Genomic DNA, 20,520 nt, shown 5'->3' with positions numbered 1-20,520 from the left:
AATAAATGAATACACCAATTCCATTCACGTTATGAAGATATTTTCCTTTAATTTATCAAACATTTCACATTCATGAAGTCATTTACTTCAGAGCAAATGTAAGCTTATAATATTAAAAATTAAAGTATTACAATATTTACAAGATGGTTGGCAGGGGACACTTACTAGTATAAAAATAATACAAATATTGTATTTTCCTCTTATCTGCCAGTAAAAATGGCAAACAGTTTTGTCTTTCTGAAGTTTCTAGTCAATAACCAAAGATGAGGAGCCCCTAATAAAGTGCCTTGCCCTGTATGCTCCACTGTCTATAGCTTTAGACCCTCAACATTCTTCTTCAAGTTCAGCAGCTCTTTTTCTTGCCTTCTTTTCTCCAGTTTAAATGCTAATTTGTTAGCTTTCTTCTCCACTCTTCGTTCCTGTTATAAGTACAAGAATATACTTGTATTATTCACATCTTTAAACTGATACAGACTGCTTTTACAAAATTCCCCTAATTTCCCCTCCACCAGCTCTTTGTAAATCTCACATTTGAAAAATATATTTTACCTTGCGCTCTTCTTTTATAGCTTGCTTTCTTGCTCTTTTATCTTCTTTGCTTTCATTTTTAGAACGTGGCTGAGTTGATACTTTAGGAAGATCACTGCCATTAATCATCTGTATTCTTTCAGTTTGCTTTGCTGTGAGTCCTTTCTTTGGTAAGACATTGAGAGGTATTCCTGTTTTAGAAGATATTCGAATTTGTTTGGGCTGAAATACAGATAAAATGGTACTAGAGTTACTTCTCATTCCTATTAAAAAATAGCTCATTAATGACATACTGTTGATGCTTTTTCTAATATCACTCTAGCCATAAAGATAAAAAGTTATTGTGCGAAAATGTGCACTCTATTTTTTATGCACTGCATCCTTCAAATAGCTCAGCACACTAGGACTTACCTTTGGTTGATACTTGATAAGCTGTGGATGGTTATATAAATTTGAGTATGTACCTAAACAAACAAATAAAAGTCATGTATCAGTAAGCATGTTTTCAGTTCCACAAAGCATTACTGAATTCCTACTATATTTCTGACCTTGTGTTTTCATAGTGCAAAATAACACTGGAGTCTCTGATCAATGTTTTATAAATTGCTTACAACTCAGTATTGGAATATTACTCTTTCCAAATAATTTTTCACAAATTTCCTAAAAGCCTAACTCTTATTAAAATATATGTATTTTTTCAAAGTTGATATATGTTTTTTTTTAGACAGAGTTTTGCTCTTGTTGCCCAGGTTGGAGTGCAATGGCATGATCTCGGCTCATTGCAACCTCTGCCTCCCAGGTTCAAGCTATTCTCCTGCCTCAGCCTCTCGAGCAGCTGGGATTACAGTTGCCTGCCACCATACCTGGCTAATTTTTGTATTTTTTAGTAGACACGGGGTTTCACCATGTTGGCCAGGCTGGTCTTGAACTCCTGACATCAGGTGACCCACCCGCCTCGGCCTCCCAAAGTGCTGGGATTACTACAGGCGTGAGGCACCGCACCCAGCCTAAAGTTGATATACTTTAATACTTTAAAATTACTATCATAAAGTGAATATACTTACTACAAATAGATTCACAATCCCACTTCTCTTTGGCTTCTTCAAGGACTACAGTAATCATTTCTTCCTCCTCAGACTCATCAAGCTCATTCATTGGCAGGTCTTGATCCTCCAAGGGTTCAAGGGTATTCAATTTTACACAACTTTTAGACGAGTTTTTAAAAGTGAAGACCAAGAGGGGGAAAAATGACCTATTATTATACTATGTCACTAAAACTGCAATTTTTAGCTGTGGAAAAACCAATGTTTTAAATGCACATATTCCAGTGACCCATCCGTTATTTTCTGTCAAACTCTGTTCTACCCAGCCCTGCCTCTTCCCTCCAGTGAGTTTTGGACATTCACTCGGCTGATAGGAAGGTAACATCTAGCTGTGTCTTTCCAAGGCAGCTTCCTAAGAAAACAGGTTTTTAAAGCCTAAAAAAGCATAACTCATCTGTCTCTGCAAAGTATTCGAATATTTCACTCAACTATATAGCTTCTTTTTCTGCTATGGGATCTATATATTATAGTGATCATGGAACATCAGACCTTTCTAGCTGATTTGAACACTTCATCAGTTTCTCTCAGAGAAGAGTCACCTTGATGTGGATGCTGATTTGCCAAAATAACTGGCTGGTCAGTTCCGCTAATCCAGCTGGAGAGACAAATTCTTGTCTTTCCACGAGATGTAAATACCTACTTCTCAGAACACCTGGCATTTCAGAAAGATGAAAAAAGCGTATGCTTGGAATAATTCTTCAGCCCAAAAGACTAGAAACACGATCTTATTTTCCAAGGGGAATGTGTCCCTTTATTTCTTTTTTTTTTTTTGAGACAGAGTCTCGCCCTGTCACCCAGGCTGGAAGCAGTGGTGCTATCTCAGCTCACTGCAACCTCTGCCTTCCAGGTTCAAGTGATCCTGTCTCAGCCTCCCAAACAGCTGGGATTACAGGTGTACACCACCACGCCCAGCCTGTCCTTATATTTCACACCCTAATAATATTCATGCTTCTATCAAAACAAAACTTTTAAGCAAAATAAATAAAAGTTAAAAAAAAATTAAAAATTGGCCAGGCACAGTGGCTCAGACCTATAATCCCAGCACTTTGGGAGACCGAGGCAGGCATATTACATGAGGTCAAGAGTTTGAGACCAGCCTGGCCAACATGGTGGAACCCCATCTCTACTAAAAATACAAAAATTAGCTGGGCATGGTGGTGTGCACCTGTAATCACATCTGCTCAGGAGGCTGAGGCAGGAGAATCACCTGAACCTGGGAGGCGGAGGTTGCAGGTGAGCTGAGATCGCACCACTGCATTCCAGCCTGGGCAACAGAGCAAGACTCCGTCTCAAAAAAAAAAAAAAATTTAATAAACGAATACACATTCTACCATGACTCTTCTCCAGTCAAAGATACGGAGAAAGTGGCTCCTCGTATATTCCCATTACGTTCTACTTCAGAACATTTAACACCAAAATGTAGGCAAAACAATGAGCTATACATGACCCAAGTTTATGGAAAATGTACCACTTTCTTTTTTCCGCCCTATCTTTTTTTTTCCCCTTTTCTTTTTTCCTTTTTCATTTTCTCAATATGTATTTTGACTAGGTTAATTTTTTCCTCAATTCAGTTATACTATAGACCTTTCTTTGGAATTTTTTCTTTTTTAAAAAAAAGAACAGCTAAACAAGGAAGGAAAAGTCACTATACTTCTCTGCCTTCTCTTTATAGTAGTCATTCAAAACTTCCTGTAAGCGATTGCTGTCCACTTGAATAGAACCTTCCAATTCTGCATTATCCAGAGCTCCAATTTCATCATCATCATATTGCTCATAAAACTTGAATATAAACAGAGAAAAGATACCATGAAAAGCAAATGTACTCAGTAAGACTACACACTTAAAAATTTTTTTACATTAACTTTATTCTTACACAATAGTTATTCAGGTACTATCACAATTACCATTAAAATATCAGTAGGGATTTAATGCAACAATAGGATGTGGAAGATATTTCTGCTCAGTACTTTAAGACTTACATTTAGCCTAAAAATAGGCTTCCATTTAACATGTAAATGAAAGGCATTATTCCACTCAGCTTGGAGAACAAAATGCTAGGCAGCACAGATTACGTCAGAACATTTTTGAAGATACTTTTTCTTTTTTTTAAGTATCTCACTGTCTCCCAGCCTGGAGTACAGTGGCGTGATCATAGTTCACTGCAGCCTCAAACTCTCAGGCTCAAGCAATCTTCCCACCTCAGCCTCTCAAGCAGCTGGGACCACAGGCACATGCCACCATACCAGGCCATTTTATTTATTTTTTTAAATAGAAACAGGGTCTGCACTGCCCAAGACAGTCTCAAACTCCTAGGCTCAAGTGATCCATCTGCTTCGGCCTCCCACAGTTCTGAGATTATAGGCACGAGACACTACGCCTAGACTAAAGATATTTTCATATTCCTTAGTTATGCAAACTAAAAGATTGTGCAACTGAAAATTCACCTACTAATGTATATATTTGTTCTTGTTTAGACAATAATTACTATATTATGCAAATGGTGTTGACACTGTTAAGCTTTGACAAAGAGTAAATGGGGGGGATATATCTCCTGAAGAGTGAGATTTGTAGCAACAGTTTGTTTCTCCCTCAAGAGAAGAGGGAAAATAGTATTAGGTGAGAAGGTAGCAAGGTAACAGCCTTTATTTTAGATTCACCTGGATGGCAACTATTCCTTCATTCATTTATCATTTATGGAACACTTTAAACTTCTATTACATGCCAAGACACCATTTTAGGCTTTTGGATGTATCCGTGAGCAAAATACAAAGAACTCTCTGCCCTTGGGGAATTCACATTCTAATCTGAGACAAATCTATATATAACATACATAATAAAGCACAACATTAGAGATGATGTTAGGAGGTGTTATGTGCTACAGAACAAACAACAGGATAGGTGGGATTAAAAACCTGTATAAACAGTCTATAGGTTGGGATTATAAACCCTGGAGCTAATCTGTTACAACAGAACCAAATAGAGTATATGAAAATACAAGCTTTCAAAAGTGTCTTATACTCTACTTCCATTCTATTCCTCAGTGTTAGTTATGTCTGAAAACACCAGATGAGAAACGGAAAGAAATGGAATTTTGATGTGCTCAATCAGGCCAATACTTCAGAAATATAGCATCTTATGGATTACTGTTGGAGAAATTCAGAATCAGGATGTCAGAATTCAAGGGGGAAAATAAGAACGTTTGATCAGCCAACTCCTTTTGACCTACACACGTTCTTTCCAGAATCAAAACTAGGGTGACTGGCCTCATAGAATATGTAAAGGGAAAACGACAATAACTAAGGTGCTTTTATGCTCTGTTTTAATAAAGAGATACGCTGTTTTCAACACTCAAAAGTTTTAGCTTTGGGTCCCAATCTCTCTTTTTAAAAAATAAAAAAAGAAAAATAACAAAAAAAAACAAGGCACACAGCAAGGCGCCTAACATCTACTTAGCTCGCGGGCGGATCAGCTGACTTGGCCAGAGGATGTTCCAGTTTCCAGATCAACCTCAACCCGCTCGGCTTCGTCAAGGTCCTTGAGTGGACTGCTTCTATCTTTAGAGTCACCTTGAAGGAAACTATTCCTTCATTCATTTATCATTTATGGAACACTTTAAACTTCTACTACATGCCAAGACACCATTTTAGGCTTTCAGATGTATCGTGAGCAAAATATAAAAAACTCTCTGCCCTTGGGGGATTCACATTCTAATCTGAGACAAATCCATATATGACATACATAATAAAGAAGCACAACATTAGAGATGGTGAGGGTTTAAGGGCCACTTCTGGGGGTTTTAAGGGCCAAATAGAAACTCAAGTGAGTTGTCCTACCACAGTTAGTGAGAATAAAACTATTACAGCTACTTTTGGTTACCCATTCAGGTTGAATGAGGCATCATTTGAGCCACCTCCTGGTGTAAGCGTGTGATGTAAATTGGAAAAGTCACATCCTCCTAACCAATTACTCTTCTTCTGCACAGTTCTATGCTCCCTTTGCAGTCTTTGTGCTCCTGTACTGCACTGATACCCTTCTGCTTTATGCTGGCTACACGAACCTATAGCTGGATAGTTGTAAACTTCCTATGATTGACTTTGTGGTTGGTGAGCACTTCAACCTGGGCTAAAGCTGACAGGTATTAAAAAAAAAAATTTAACATAAGATAGTACTAAAGCATCCCTTATGTGGGGACCTTACCTTCTCAAACCTCTCATCATGTAGGGTCAGCTGTTCATTTCTCCTCATGACTGAGGAAGTCATCGAATACTCCGTGAAGCGACTCTTTGTTTCCTCACTCCAGAACAAGTGATCTGCTATAGCTCTGTGAGTTTTTCCGGGCACAGACATACAGTCTTCATCTGACAATAGGCCTGCAGAGTCATAGTCATCATTGCTATCTCCCTTCTCATCATCCACATCTTCCCACTCGCTGTCATCTTCATTCTCAGATTTCCTAAAGTAAAGGTCATAAATTACCTACCAAAACAACTTAAAAAGTAACAGAACAAAACCACTTTACACAAGTAAAATTGGAAGGTATTTCAGGAAGGGTTCTTGTCTAGGCAGGAAGAGTGAGGGTGTTTGATCAATCTGGTTTGGTAGGAAAAGCAATGAATCTCACATTTTCTGCTCTAAAATACAGAAGTCTCAGATTAAATGCTCTTGAAGGTCTCTTCCAACTGTAACGTTCTATGGTTACCATCCCACTGAAGCAGTAACACTTAGGTCATCATCTCTGCTTTGAAACAAACCACACATACTGTATATCCATTCCCTCTTCCTCTCCTGTTGCCTTATTGGCCTGAAGAATAAAGTCATCCTCAAGCAGATTATCTGGATCATCAAAGTCAAAATCATCATCAAGAGCTGCAACAATGTCAGGATCAAAATCCAGTCGAGGTCCTAGAAGGAAAACAAAAATTAAGCAGTAATTCCCAAGATAGCAACAATTCATTCACTTAACTCACAATATAAGGACCTATGATAGCAAGAGTCTATTAATATATTGAGGATAAAAGAACGATTAAGAACTAAGTTCAGTCTAGTGAAGAATAAAGAATGAACACTCCAAGACAAAAAAAGGAAACAAAATGCTGCCTCAGCCCCAGTCAGGACCTTATAAATAAAACTCCCATCTTCCTGGGACAGAGCACCTGGGGGAAGGGGCGGCTGTGGGCACAGCTTCAGCAGACTCAAACGTTCCTGCCTGCCGGCTCTGAAGAGAGCAGCGGATCTCCCGGCACAGTGCTCAAGCTCTGCTAAGGGACAGACTGCCTCCTCAAGTGGGTCCCTGACCCCTGTGCCTCCTGCCTAGGAGACACCTCCCATCAGGGGTCAATAGACACCTCATAGAGGAGAGCTCTGGTTGGCATCTGGCGGGTACCCCTCTGGGACAAAGCTTCCAGAGGAAGGAACAAGCAGCAATCTTTGCTGTTCTGCAGCCTCTGCTGGTGATACCCAGGCAAACAGGGACTGGACTGGACCTCCAGCAAACTCCAGCAGACCTACAGCAGAGGGGTCTGACTGTTAGAAATAAACCTAACAGAAAGGAATAGCATCAACATCAACAAATAGGACGTCCACACAGAAACCCCATCCAAAGGTCACCAACAACAATGACCAAAGGTAGATAAATCCAAGAAGATGAGGAAAAACCAGCACAAAAAGGCTGAAATTTCCAAAAACCAGAATGCCTCTTCTCTTCAAAGGATCACAACTCCTCGCCGGCAAGGGAACAAAACTGGACGGAGAATGCGTTTGATGAATTGACAGAAGTATGCTTCAGAAGGTGGGTAGTAACAAACTCCTTGGAGCTAAAGGAGCATGTTCTAACCCAACGCAAGGAAGCTAAAAACCTTGAAAAAAGGTTAGAGGAATTGCTAACTAGAATTACCAGTTTAGAGAAGAACATAAATGACCTGATGGAGCTGAAAAACACAGCAAGGGAACTTTGTGAAGCATACACAAGTATCAATAGCCGAATTGATCAAGTGGAAGAAAGGACATCAGCGATTGAAGATCAACTTAATGAAATAAAGCGTGAAGACAAGATTAGAGAAAAAAGAATGAAAAGGAACGAACAAAGCCTCCAACAAATATGGGACTATGTGAAAAGACCAAATCTCTATGTTTGATTGGTGTACCTGAAAGTGATAGGGAGAATGGAACCAAGTTGAAAAACACTCTTCAGGATATTATCCAGGAGAACTTACCCAACCTAGCAAGAGAGGCCAACATTCAAATTCAGGAACCACAAAGATACTCCTCGAGAAGAGCAACCCCAAGACACATAATCGTCAGATTCACGAAGGTTGAAATGAAGAAAAAAATGTTAAGGGCAGCCAGAGAGAAAGGTCGGGTTACCCACAAAGAGAAGCCCATCAGACTAACAGTGGATCTCTCAGCAGAAACCGTACAAGTCAGAAGAAAGTGGGGGCCAATACTCAACATCCTTAAAGTAAAGAATTTTCAACTTAGAATCTCATATCCAGCCAAATTAAGTTTTGTAAGTGAAGGAGAAATAAAATCCTTTCCAGATAAGCAAATGCTGAGAGATTTTGTCACCACCAGGCCTGCCTTACAAGAGCTCCTGAAGGAAGCACTAAATATGGAAAGGAAAAACTGGTACCAGCCACTGCAAAACGTACCAAACAGTAAAGACCATCGATACTAAGAAGAAACTGCATAAACTAATGGGCAAAATAACCAGCTAGCATCATAATGACAGAATCAAATAACACATTACAATATTAACCTTAAATGTAAATGGGATAAAAGCCCCAATTAAAAGACACAGATTGGCAAATTGGATAAAGAGTCAAGACCCATCAGTGTGCTGTATTCAGGAGACCTATCTCATGTGCAAAGACGCACACAGACTCAAAATAAAGGAATGGAGGATATTTACCAAGCAAATGGAAAGCAAAAACAGCAAGTGTTGCAATCCTAGTCTCTGATAAAACAGACTCTAAACCAACAAAGATCAAAAAACACAAAGAAGGGCATTACATAATAGTAAAGGGAACAATGCAACAAGAAGAGCTAACTACCCTAAATATATATGCACCTAATACAGGAGCACCCAGATTCATAAAGCAAGTTCTAAGAGACCTACAAAGAGACTTAGACTCCCACACAATAATAATGGGAGACTTTAACACCCCACTGTCAATATTAGACAGATCAACGAGACAGAAAATTCACAAGGATCTTCAGGACTTGAACTCAGCCCTGGACCAAGCAGACCTAATAGACAGTGACGTAACTCTCCACCCCAAATCAACAGAATATACATTCTTCTCAGCACCACATTGCACTTATCCTAAAATTGACCACATAATTGGAAGTAAAACACTCCTCAGCAAATGCAAAAGAATGGCAATCATAACAAACAGTCTCTCAGACCACACTGCAATCAAATTAGAACTCAGGTTTAAGAAATCCACTCAAAAATGCACAACTACTTGGAAACTGAACAACCTGCTCCTGAATGCCTACGGGGTAAATAACAAAAATAAGGTAGAAATAAATAAGTTCTTCGAAACCAATGAGAAAAAAGACACAACATACCAGAATCTCTGGGACACAGCTAAAGCAGTGTTTAAGGGGAAATTTATAGCACTAAATTCCCACAGGAGAAAGCAGGAAAGATCTAAAATCGACACCCTAACATCACAATTAAAAGAAGTAGAGAAACAAGAGCAAACAAATTCAAAACCTAGAAGACAAGACATAACTAAAACACAGCAGAACTGAAGGAGATAGAGACACGAAAACCCTTCAAAAAAACCAATGAATCCAGGAGCTAGTTTTTTGAAAAGATTAACAAAATAGATAGACTGCTAGCCAGACTAATAAAGAAGAAAAGAGAGAAGAATCAAATAGACACAATAAAAATTGATAAAGGGGATATCACCACCGATCCCACAGAAATACAAATTACCATCAGAGAATACTATAAACACCTCTATGAAAATAAACTAGAAAATCTAGAAGAAATGGATAAATTCCTGGACACATACACCCTCCCAAGGCTAAATCAGGAGGAAGTGGAATCCCTGAATAGACCAATAACATGTTCTGAAATAGAGGCAGCAATAGCCTACCAACCAAAAGAGAAGCCCAGGACCAGACAGATTCACAGCCAAATTCTACCAGAGGTACAGAGAGGAGCTGATACCACTCCTTCTGAAACTATTCCAAACAATAGAAAAAGAGGGACTCCTCTCTAACTCATTTTATGAGGCCAGCATCATCCTGATACCAAAACCTGGCAGAGACACAACAAAAAAAGAAAATTTCAGGCCAATATCCCTGATGAACATCAATGCGAAAATCGTCAATAAAAAACTGGCAAAACAAATCCAGCAGCACATCAAAAAGCTTATTCACCACAATCAAGTTGGCTTCATCCCTGGGATGCAAGGCTGGTTCAACGTAATCCATTACATAAACAGAACCAATGACAAAAACCACATGATTATCTCAATAGATGCAGAAAAGGCCTTTGATAAAATTCAACACCCCTTCATGCTAAAAACTCTCAATAAACTAGGTATTGATGGAACATATCTCAAAATAATAAGAGCTATTTATGACAAACCCTCAGCCAATATCATACTGAATGGGCAAAAGCTGGAAGCATTCCCTTTGAAAACCGGCACAAGACAAGGATGCCCTCTCTCACCAATCCTATTCAACACAGTATTGGAAGTTCTGGCCAGGGCAATCAGGCAAGAGAAAGAAATAAAGCGTATTCCAATAGGAAGAGAGGAAGTCAAATTGTCTCTGTTTGCAGATTAACATCACTGTCTATTTAGAAAACCCCATCATCTCAGCCCAAAATCTCCTTAAGCTGATAAGCAACTTCAGCAAAGTCTCAGGATACAAAATCAATGTGCAAAAATCACAAGCATTCCTATATACCAATAATAGACAAACAGAGAGCCAAATTGTGAGGGAACTCCCATTCACAATTGCTACAAAGAGAATAAAATACCTAGGAATCCAACTTACAAGGGATGTGAAGGACCTCTTCAAGGAGAACTACAAACCACTGCTCAAAGAAATCAGAGGGGACACAAACAAATGGAAAAACATTCCATGCTCATGGATAGGAAGAATCAATATCATAAAAATGGCCATACTGCCCAAAGTAATTTACAAGATAATCCTAAGCAGAAAGAACAAAGCTGGAGGCATCACACTACCTGACTTCAAACTATACTACATGGCTACAGTAATCAAAACAGCATGGTACTGGTACCAAAACAGATATATAGACCAATGGAACAAAACAGAGGCCTCAGAAATAACACCACACATCTACAGCCATCTGATCTTTGACAATCCTAACAAAAACAAGCAATGGGGAAAGGATTCCGTATTTAATAAATGGCATTGGGAAAACTGGCTAGCCATATGCAGAAAACTGAAATTGGACCCCTTCTTTACACCTTATACAAAAATTAACTCAAGATGGATTAAAGACTTCAACGTAAGACCTAAAACCATAAAAACTCTAGAAGAAAACCTAAGCAATACCATTCAGGATATAGGCATGGGCAAAGACTTCTTGACTAAAACATCAAAAGCAATGTCAACAAAAGCCAAAATTGACAAATGGGATCTAATTAAATTAAAGAGCTTCTGCAGAGCAAAAGAAACTATCATCAGAGTCAACAGGCAACCCACACAATGGGAGAAAATTTTTGCAATCAATCCATCTGACAAAGGGCTAATATCCAGAATCTACAAAGAACTTAAATTTACAAGAAAAAAACAAACAACCCCATTGAAAAGTGGGCAAAAGATAGGAACAGATATTTCTCAAATGAAGACATTTATGCAGCCAACAAACATGAAAAAAAGCTCATCATCACTGGTCATTATAGAAATGCAAATTAAAACCACAATGAGAAACTATCTCACGCCAGTTAGAATGGCAATCATTAAAAAGTCAGGAAACAACAGATTCTGGAGAGGATGTGGAGAAATAGGAACGCTTTTATGTTGTTGTTGGGAGTGTAAATTAGTTCAACCATTGTGGAAGACAGTGTGGCGATTCCTCAAGGATCTAGAACCAGAAATACCATTTGACCCAGCAATCCCATTACTGGGTACATACCCAAAGGATAATAAATCATTCTACTATAAAGACACATGCACACGTAGGTTTATTGTAGCACTGTTCACAATAGCAAAGACTTGGAACCAACTTAAATGCCCATCAATGACAGACTGGATAAAGAAAATGTGGCACATATACACCATGGAATACTATGCAGCCATAAAAAAGGACACGTTCATGTCCTCTGCAGGGACATGGATGAAGCTGGAAACCATCACTCTCAGCAAACTAACACAGGAACAGAAAACCAAACACCGCATGTTCTCACTCATAAGTGGGAGTTGAACAATGAGAACATATGGACACAGGGAGGGGAACATCACACACTGGGGCCTGTTGGGGGATGGGGGCCTAGGGGAGGGATAGCATTAGGAGAAATGCCTAATGTAGATGATGGGTTGATGGGTGCAGCAAACCACCATGACGTGTATACCTACATAACAAACCTGCACATTCTGCATATATATCCCAGGACTTAAAGTATAATTTAAAAAAAAAAATGAAAAAAGAAATGATGCTTCTCCTTTTAATATCCACTGGTGAAAATAATGTTCCATTAAACATCTATAATGTTTAACTTTGTCTAGCATAATTCAAAGCTTTTGTCTGCAAGAAGAAACTGGCCTTTAAATTCACCTGTTAAAAATAACTCGAACAATTTTTAGACTGTTATACTTTCAGTATTTTCTGACTTTGCGATTTTAATAAATACCTACCTGTTTCTTCAGATATGTTCTTCCATCTATAAATATACTAGGCTGACTCTGGGCACACTGCTTAGGACTTAGCCCTGCTCCACAAGGAGCAGAAAATGAAAACAAAAAACTCAAGTTCATGAAAAACTTTCAACTCCAAATTTATCATCTGACATGGCCTCCAACACCCTCTGCTACATGGCCATTACTTAACCCTCCAGCCTCATTTCTTTTTAATCCATACCCTTCCTTCTGGGCAGGCTAAAATGTGTATAGTTACCTATATTCACGTTCTCTTGCCTTAGGACATACAGTCCTCTGTCTGGAACATCCTCTGGTCCCCACCCCTCCCCCTCCTTCTTCCACCTACCTAACTTTTACTTAAGAAACAAACTAGATATCACCTTCTTTAGAAAGCCTTGCCCAACCCTGTGATGCTGGGTTTGGTGCTACTCACCCCACTATTAATATCCATCTATACTGTAATTTATCATTTATTGTTTATTTTTCCCAAATGAGGTAAATTCTTGGGTCAGAGACTATGCTTTATTCTGTTTTAACCCAAGGCCCTGCCACACAGACAGTGGCAACTCAAAAATCTGTACAATAAATTAATTAATGAATGCCACAGGACAGGTGTTAGTTAATAATTAAGGCAACTTGGGAGAAAATACCAACACCACTTCTGTAGACTTTTGTGTTTGTTCTGAAATACAGTGTTGGTACTACAAATTAAAAATAAAAAATTTCCCCCAATATATGTGTAGATGGCAAAATGAACTTCCATAAAAATACCTGTATGCTCTGGGGAGAAATTCTGAAAAACAGATTATTTTTCAAAATTACACTACAAGTAATGAATAATTAATACCACTATCTTTGCAAGAGGTTATGTGAAGGTTACAATTCCCCTAACTAGATTACCAAGAATAGTTTCCCCACTTTCCTCTCCAAACAGGAACTCAAAAGATATAAAGATTTGATGGTAGGAATACAAAAATACAAAGATCACATTCATCCCTTCCTAATAATCCCTGATCTGAATTCCAGACATATCTCAATTGTTTCAATACTTTACTGGGGATAGAAAAATCCTACATCATTTCTTTATGTTTTGCAAAATACATTTATCCATATGAAAAGATAAAGCAATTAAAAATACCTGAAACTGGAGCTGCTTTATTTAACAATCCAACATCTTCCTCAAACTCTGAAGCAAACACTGATGAAGGCAACTTAATTCCAGTGCTCTTGAAAAAGAAATTGCACAATGGTTAGGTTTATTTGGAAATTCTTCTTAACTAGTGTACCGGGTTGAAGTCCCCCCCAAATCAATGTCCATCCAGAACCTTAGACTGACCATATTTGAAATAGGGTCCTCTCAACTATAATAAGATGAGGTCTTACTGGACCATGGTCCTATAACGAGACCACATGAAGACAGAGACTCACAGGGGAGAATGCCATGTGCAGATGACAGCAGACTGGAGTGAGGCCTCTATAAGGCAAGGAATTCCAAGGAATGATCACCGGTAACCTTCGGAAGTTAGGAATGAGCCATTCAACAGCCTCTCCCTCTAAGCCCCCAAGAAAAAAACCAAACCTGCTGATACCTTCATCTCAAACTTCTGACCTCCAGAACCATGAAGGAAGAAATTTCTGTTGTTTTAAGTCACCTAGTTTGTGGTAATTTGTTACTGCAGTCCTAGGAAACTATTACAACTACATTCTGTGTTCTCTCACCTGTGCTCCAGGTTGTATATATGTTAAACATGTATATTCCATCATAAACCCAAAAGTAACTCTCTATAATACATCACAATGCCTTCTCTAGCAAATTATTCCATTTATCCCTCAGATCCCATGAGGTATCACCATGTTTTACCAAAAGAACAAAAACTAGGAAAGTTTAAATGGCCCACCTGCCTGAGAATGATCAGTAAGTGAGATTCTGGGATTCAAATCCCAGAGTTTCTTAACTCCACTTGCCTGAAATTTCAAACCAAAATTAAACATTTTCCTCTTAAACTAGAGATAATGTCCTAATCTCTAGTAATGGCACAGCCCTTGTATGAATTGGCAATCTTAAATCCTCGGGTGGTTATAAATCATTTTGCTCTGTCCTATGTCCCCTTGAAATCTCTTACATACAGTGATTTCACTCTATTCTTTGGGGCATCACCTCATTTATAGTTAACCAAAACATAAATGACTGCAACCGCTCATATAGCTAGTCTATATCTACTACAACCTTCATACCCATGGCGAGATTAAGCTCCTTTAATAGTTTTTCATGTGACCTTCTTGAGTTTCTGACAGGTCTCAATTTTTCACTCTGTATTTAAGGCCCTGGTTCTCAAGGACCTATAAAATCAAGGCCTACTCTGTGTATCCAAATTTCTCAGTTATTCTATATGACCATGCAAATCAAGTTCATTCCTCAGTCATGTAATAATGCAAAACACTTTACTTGGCGCGCATGTGCCTGACACGGAACCACAGTGCTCACTGTCTCGGCAGCCTGACTGAAAATGTTCCTTCTCCTGTCAACAGTACCCACCACTTGGTGGCCAGCTCGGTTCCTACCCTCCGACATGAAGCCCTTTCTGATCACTGTCCTAGAACTTCCCTTTGTGTGAACTTCCCGCCTTCTTCACACGCTGCAATCTACTCAAACATGTGCTTGCTAGCCTACATTCTCTGACTGGTTCTTATGCTTGTTTCCTCTCCTTGACCAAACAGTTCATAACGTGAGGACAACCGCCATGTGTTATTTATCTCTGTGCACCTCACCACCTGCCCTATCCTCAGCCCAGGAGGAGGCACAAAGCTGGAATGTGCATCCTCATTGGCTCACTGAGAAAGCTCTCTGAATTGGAAGCCTCTGAGGAGCATGAGTAAAGGCTACATATGGCAGTGTACACACAGCAAGATGTTATGGCTTCCAAAATGAGTTTCTCAGTAGCACAAACATGGGCAAAGATGTTATTTTGCTGTAGAGTATATTTTTAAGAAAACAGCTTTACTAAGACATCATTCACATACAATTCACCTAAAGTGTACAATTTAATGTTTTTTAAGGATATTACATTATTAATTACTTAAAATTGTAGTAAAATCTACATAGTCTTTTAGGTTTTTAAAAAGGTACCTTTGTGATATTTATCCTTAGAAGTTTGGGGTTAAACACAAGGTCAGTTTGTGTTAAATGAATTTACCTTTGTGAGATATTTTTCAAATCTTGAAAAGTAGTCAATCACATACACGATTAAGAGTTTAAAGAGAAATTACTCTGTTTTTAGAGGAGTGCTGTGTTTTCATTGGTTGCAGTAGTTCTCAACTACATGACATTTGCCCAGCTACTTTCCACAACAGCACCACCATCTTTCTTTCATGTCAAAATCAGGGCCTGCTCAAGCATCAATCATTTCTATACTGCCTTTTTACACTGTCTTACACTGTTTCTAGGGGTTATTCATTATTTCTAATCTACTCGAATTTGGTGGTGTGTTACAAATTAAAGTAAAAAAAGTATATGGGACTAATCCATATTTTTTCATAGCTCTTCAGAAAACCAACCACACTTCTGTTTTTAAATACAATTCAGCTGTCCCTGCAAAGGTCACTGAAGTGTCCATTTAAGAGCCTTATCCTGTTAAAAAGCCAATTAGTGATTGCTTTTACTCAAAATGAATTAAGGATTAAAAGTTAGTCTTATACGACCGGGCGCGGTGGCTCACGCCTGTAATCCCAGCACTTTGGGAGGCCGAGGCAGGCAGATCACCTGAAGTCGGGAGTTCAAGACCAGCCTGACCAACACGGAGAAACCCCGGCTCTACTAAAAATACAAAATTAGCCGGGCACAGTGCCACATGCCTGCAATCCCAGCTTCTAGGGAGGCTGAGGCAGGAGAATCGCTTGAACCCGGGAGGCGGAGGTTGCGGTGAGCCGAGATCGTGCCACTGCACTCCAGCCTGGGCAACAGGAGCAAAACTCCGTCTCAACAACAATAACAACAACAACAAAAGTTAGTCTTGTACTGGTCAATACAAGCCAGGCAAGACTTTACTAAGAATTTTCTCCCTTAGATAAACAAGTTGAGCCACTAAGGAACCCCTTCTCTCCTTCAATAGGTTATAGAAGCAAGTGAGCCAATAAGTCCCTACTACCAATAAAGCCTTGAGGAAGAAGGAATAAAGAAGTTGGTTCTCTATGACAGAGATGTGGTGGGATTTGGGGCGTTACAAAAGAGCCACAACCTACTTAGTGAACGAGCAGCTGCAGTTATTACCTTTCTTTGGGATGGTATCCTGAAACCTAACCTTTCTGAGTCTCCTTAAGCAACAAGCTATTGCCTATAAGAACTACAATCACATCTTCCCCAAGGAAAGGAATGCCTAGACCATGACAGAATTGGGGAATGAGGAGCAGGGTAAACTGGTGCCCTTTCTATCTCTTACCTTTTGCTTATAAACCTAATGAATGTCTCCTTTTTTTAAAGTGCTAGGTGATATAAAAGTTTCCCACAGGAAAATTTACTCTACATCAAATTAAAAATAAGGTCACGGAGGCATACAACATGGGCATTCTTAACATAAACAGGGGAGAAAACAGAACTTAGACTAACAGCACTAATTTCTTATAAACACGTACTATCATTTGTCCTGAAAGAGAAGGTATTAAAGTGGACCGAACATTTGTTTACAAGACAGGAATGTTATTATCATCCACTCATTCTGTTTGCTTATGAGTAGCCTGCAGCTTTTACAAAAGTGTTAAAGATCTGAATATTCCACAAAAGTTAAGTCCTATCTTAGAACAAGAGTTTATGATCCTGAAAACAGTTATGTTGTTAACATGTAGAATGTCAGCTGCTTTTCTCCTATTGAAAAGTGCTGTCTAACATGGCCATGTCTATCAATCAAAAGTTCTGAACCTATAAAAAGGCTGTTACTGTTGACACCTGCCACCAGAGAAGACGTGACCTATTCTCTCCTGATGGTATACACATGCATACACATATATAATTTTAAGTGGAGGCGTGGTCTATCTTTGTGCTCTTCATACGGACACCATTTCTTGCCCCAAACAGATATCTTGATTCAAAAATGATTTCTTCACCTCACTCCCACAATTAAATTGCTGAAAAGCCTTACTGGAATTACTAGCGTTTCTTCTTTCTCCTCTCTCCTGTTGTGTGCACTGAAGGTACTTGAGGGAATAAGCTCTGAAGGCCCAGATGGTTCCTTCAGGTGCTGCAGGTAGTCATAGTCGTCATCAAAGAACACTCCATACTTCCTCTGTTCTGCTCGCCTTTCTTCATTGTCTATCTATAAACGAAATGGAATTAGTACTTTCTTCACTATCTATAAACAAAATGGAATCAGTAAGCCTTCCAAGGATAAGGCATGGGAATATTACAATGAGTACAGCTTTCCAAGTAGGAGGCAGATGGCACATGAACATTTTGGCTGATGGGAAAAAGACAAAGAATTCTTGACAAACAGGAAATGTACAGCTTCAAAACCAGAGTGCTACGTAACATTAAAATGGAATGAAAACATTCATGCTTTTAAAAGGGCAATAAAAATAAATAACAATTGCTCCTTCCACTAGACATTTCTGTGCAACATTTTGAGTCAAGAAACAAACATACAATTTATTTTATCATCTATTTGGAGGGTTATAAGAAAAGACCTGGGGGGCCAGGTGCAGTGGCTCATGCCTATAATCCCAGCACTTTGGGATGCTGAGGTAGGAGGATCACTTGAGCCTTGGAGTTCAAGACCAGCCTGGGCAAAATAGTGAGACCTCGTTTCTACAAAATAATTTTAAAAATCAGCCAGGCCAGGTGGCGTGTGCCTGTAGTACCGGCTACTCTGGAGGCTAAGGTGGGAGGATCGCTTGAGCCCAAGAGGTAGAAGTTGCAGTGAGCTGAGATGGAGCCACTTTGCATGCCAGCCTGGGAAACAGAGATTTGGGCGCCTTGAAAGGTAAGTACAATTTCTTGTATTTATATGCAAAAAAACCCTTCTCAACATACAACAAAACTGGCTTTACTGAAAAGCTAAACGTGGCCCATGTCCCCCAGTACTCTGTTTCCCAACACTCTGTTTCATAATATCTACACTTAATAAGTGTTGTGTAACATTAAGAGTCTTAATAAGTAGAGTCTAACATTAAGTCAATCTTTACCAGGCTCCCTTGCAAAGTTCCCTGAGCTAACCAAGGAGCTCAGATATTTTACATTTCCTAAGATGAGCAAGCAGGAGGCAAAATGCAGTTTGCGGTTATGAAACGGCAGGATCTTAGAGAAAGCACAGTTTGAGCATATATCGGTGCCCTAAATAACATCATGCCGCATTGTAGCTGGTGCTTTGGTAAATATTTACCATTATTCTACAAGATTTGCTCGTTTAAACATCTCAAATAAAGATCTTTGTCTTCCCAATCAAAATAATGTGAATGATGTAAAAATCACCAATTGTACTGAAAATTAACTTATAGATTATTTCCCAGAATATCAGTTATCTGAGAATAACAGCTGGCTAACAATTTATTAAAAACTATTAACATAGCAAGGCGTGGTGGCTCATGCCTGTAATCCCAGCACTTTTGGAGGCCAAGCTGGGAGGACTGCTTAAGTCCAGGAGTTCGAGACCAGCCTGGGCAACGTGCTAAGACTCTATTTATTTAAAAAAAAAAAAAGAAAAAAAAAACTATTGTCTACCTACAAACTGACTGGCTAAAGAACAGGACCTACTTTTTGTGTGGGCAATAGAACCCTCTGGGGTGCACTCTCATCTGCTGCTAAAGGATCTCGTTGGCTCCGGTGGACCAAGTGAAAAGACACAGCTTTCTTCTTCTCTATAAAGGGCTTTTTCTTCCTGTGAGGCTTCAAAGGAACAAAATCACAACAATTAATTAAAACAGAACAAAAAGACGGAGAATAATTCCATAGTCCACACATGCATCTTTAGTAGTCATGTTAAAGATACTTTTTAAAAATCTACACTTCTAGGGCAGGCAACATCAGCTGTGTTCTGCAGAATCCATACTTAACCTTCCTTCAACAAACATTCCTTGAGCACCTACTTTGTGCCAGACCTTGTTATGGGAACTGAGAATACAGAAGTGGGAAAGTCAGATAAAGTCCCTGTTCTTAGCAAGAAAATCAAGATAATTTCCGGTGAAGAAAATATAAGACAGTGACGTGAAAATGCCTTAAAAGCTACTTTACACTGGCTGCTCAGGGAAGGCCCCTGGCCGACTGAACTAGAATGACAAGAAGCCTGCCACAACATAATCTGGAGTAGACAGCTCCACACAGAGCATCTACCAACCAGTAAATAAAATCACGACACAAACAGCTAAAGTTTAATAAGATCCATCACCTCTTTCTACATTCTTACTTCGCTATTCAATTTTGATTCTCTAAACTGGGAAACCAATTAAGTGGCTTTACTTTGGGCCCAACCTTATGCTCTCCCACAAGTTCCCTTTCTCAGAGGAAACAGACAGGCAGACACCTGCCACTCCAACGCTGAGGGAGACCAGCAGCTCCCTCTGCTCGACCCCAAGAAGCACAGGGTTGCGCGTTTGTGTCGGCAGTCACCAGCTTTTAGTTAACCGAAATCACGCAGGGCTGCAGGCTCCCAGGGATAAAACAAAAAGGCCATTCTCCTCTCCGGGCCACATCCCAGGGAGGCTCGGCGGTGGGAGACTGTAACTTGCAAAGAATGCCCACGGTGGTGACGTTGGCCCATTTCGGGGTACCGTGCCGCAAGCAGCCTCTGGCATGACCCAGACCCGGGCCGCAGTAGCCAAGGTATTACCGGAAGCAGCCTGGCCTCTGCAAAACCACAGCGCTCGGCCGCCGAAACAAGCAAGGCTTGCTCACCATGCTGCAGCCGCGCGGCGCTCACCCCCAACAGGGGCGGCGATGACACCCTCGAAGTCCGGCGGGGAGACCAAGGTCCAGCTGAAGGCCGCTTCTGTAGGCCTCACCACACGTGCAGCCCCAGGACCCGGCGATAACGTCACCCAGCCGGCCGTGGAAACGGAC

The 20,520-nt window shown here is 39.8% G+C and overlaps 1 protein-coding gene across 2 annotated transcripts, besides 2 other annotated features; it reads right to left on the bottom strand.

Moving 5' to 3' along the window:
• Positions 1-23: 23 nt before the first annotated feature.
• Positions 24-20,498, bottom strand: LTV1 (LTV1 ribosome biogenesis factor). 2 transcript variants are annotated; one of them, NM_001329953.2, is made up of 11 exons: positions 20,356-20,498; positions 19,219-19,350; positions 17,612-17,785; positions 13,618-13,705; positions 6,253-6,533; positions 5,829-6,084; positions 3,283-3,410; positions 1,593-1,732; positions 940-992; positions 550-750; positions 24-419 (listed from the first exon to the last, which is right to left on the bottom strand). In NM_001329953.2, coding segments are annotated over exons 5-11 (891 nt in total). In that variant the 5' UTR covers positions 6,255-6,533; positions 13,618-13,705; positions 17,612-17,785; positions 19,219-19,350; positions 20,356-20,498; the 3' UTR covers positions 24-308. The 2 variants fall into 2 exon arrangements, with proteins under 2 accessions (NP_001316882.1, NP_116249.2); NM_032860.5 differs by having other exon boundaries at positions 6,392-6,533.
• Positions 19,995-20,064: an enhancer, noted in NCBI's record as "active region_25206". NCBI's record gives its function as "activates an Ori minimal core promoter by ATAC-STARR-seq in GM12878 lymphoblastoid cells {active_cell/tissue: GM12878}" and the evidence as "EXISTENCE:reporter gene assay evidence [ECO:0000049][PMID:35858748]".
• Positions 20,255-20,464: an enhancer, noted in NCBI's record as "active region_25205". NCBI's record gives its function as "activates an Ori minimal core promoter by ATAC-STARR-seq in GM12878 lymphoblastoid cells {active_cell/tissue: GM12878}" and the evidence as "EXISTENCE:reporter gene assay evidence [ECO:0000049][PMID:35858748]".

Source organism: Homo sapiens, chromosome 6 (assembly GCF_000001405.40).
Source record: "Homo sapiens chromosome 6, GRCh38.p14 Primary Assembly".
Taxonomy (NCBI): Eukaryota; Metazoa; Chordata; class Mammalia; order Primates; family Hominidae; genus Homo; species Homo sapiens.
Note: the sequence above shows the minus strand (reverse complement) of the source record. Positions and strands in the feature narration are given on the sequence as shown.

Excerpts from the sequence above, each read along its gene's own strand:
- LTV1 (NM_032860.5), bottom strand. Across the intron at positions 1,733-3,282 it reads TATAAAGAGAAGGCAGAGAA|TTGTGTAAAATTGAATACCC; the intron begins GTATAGTGACTT and ends CTCGTCTAAAAG. Across the intron at positions 993-1,592 it reads GGATTGTGAATCTATTTGTA|GTACATACTCAAATTTATAT; the intron begins GTAAGTATATTC and ends TTGTTTGTTTAG.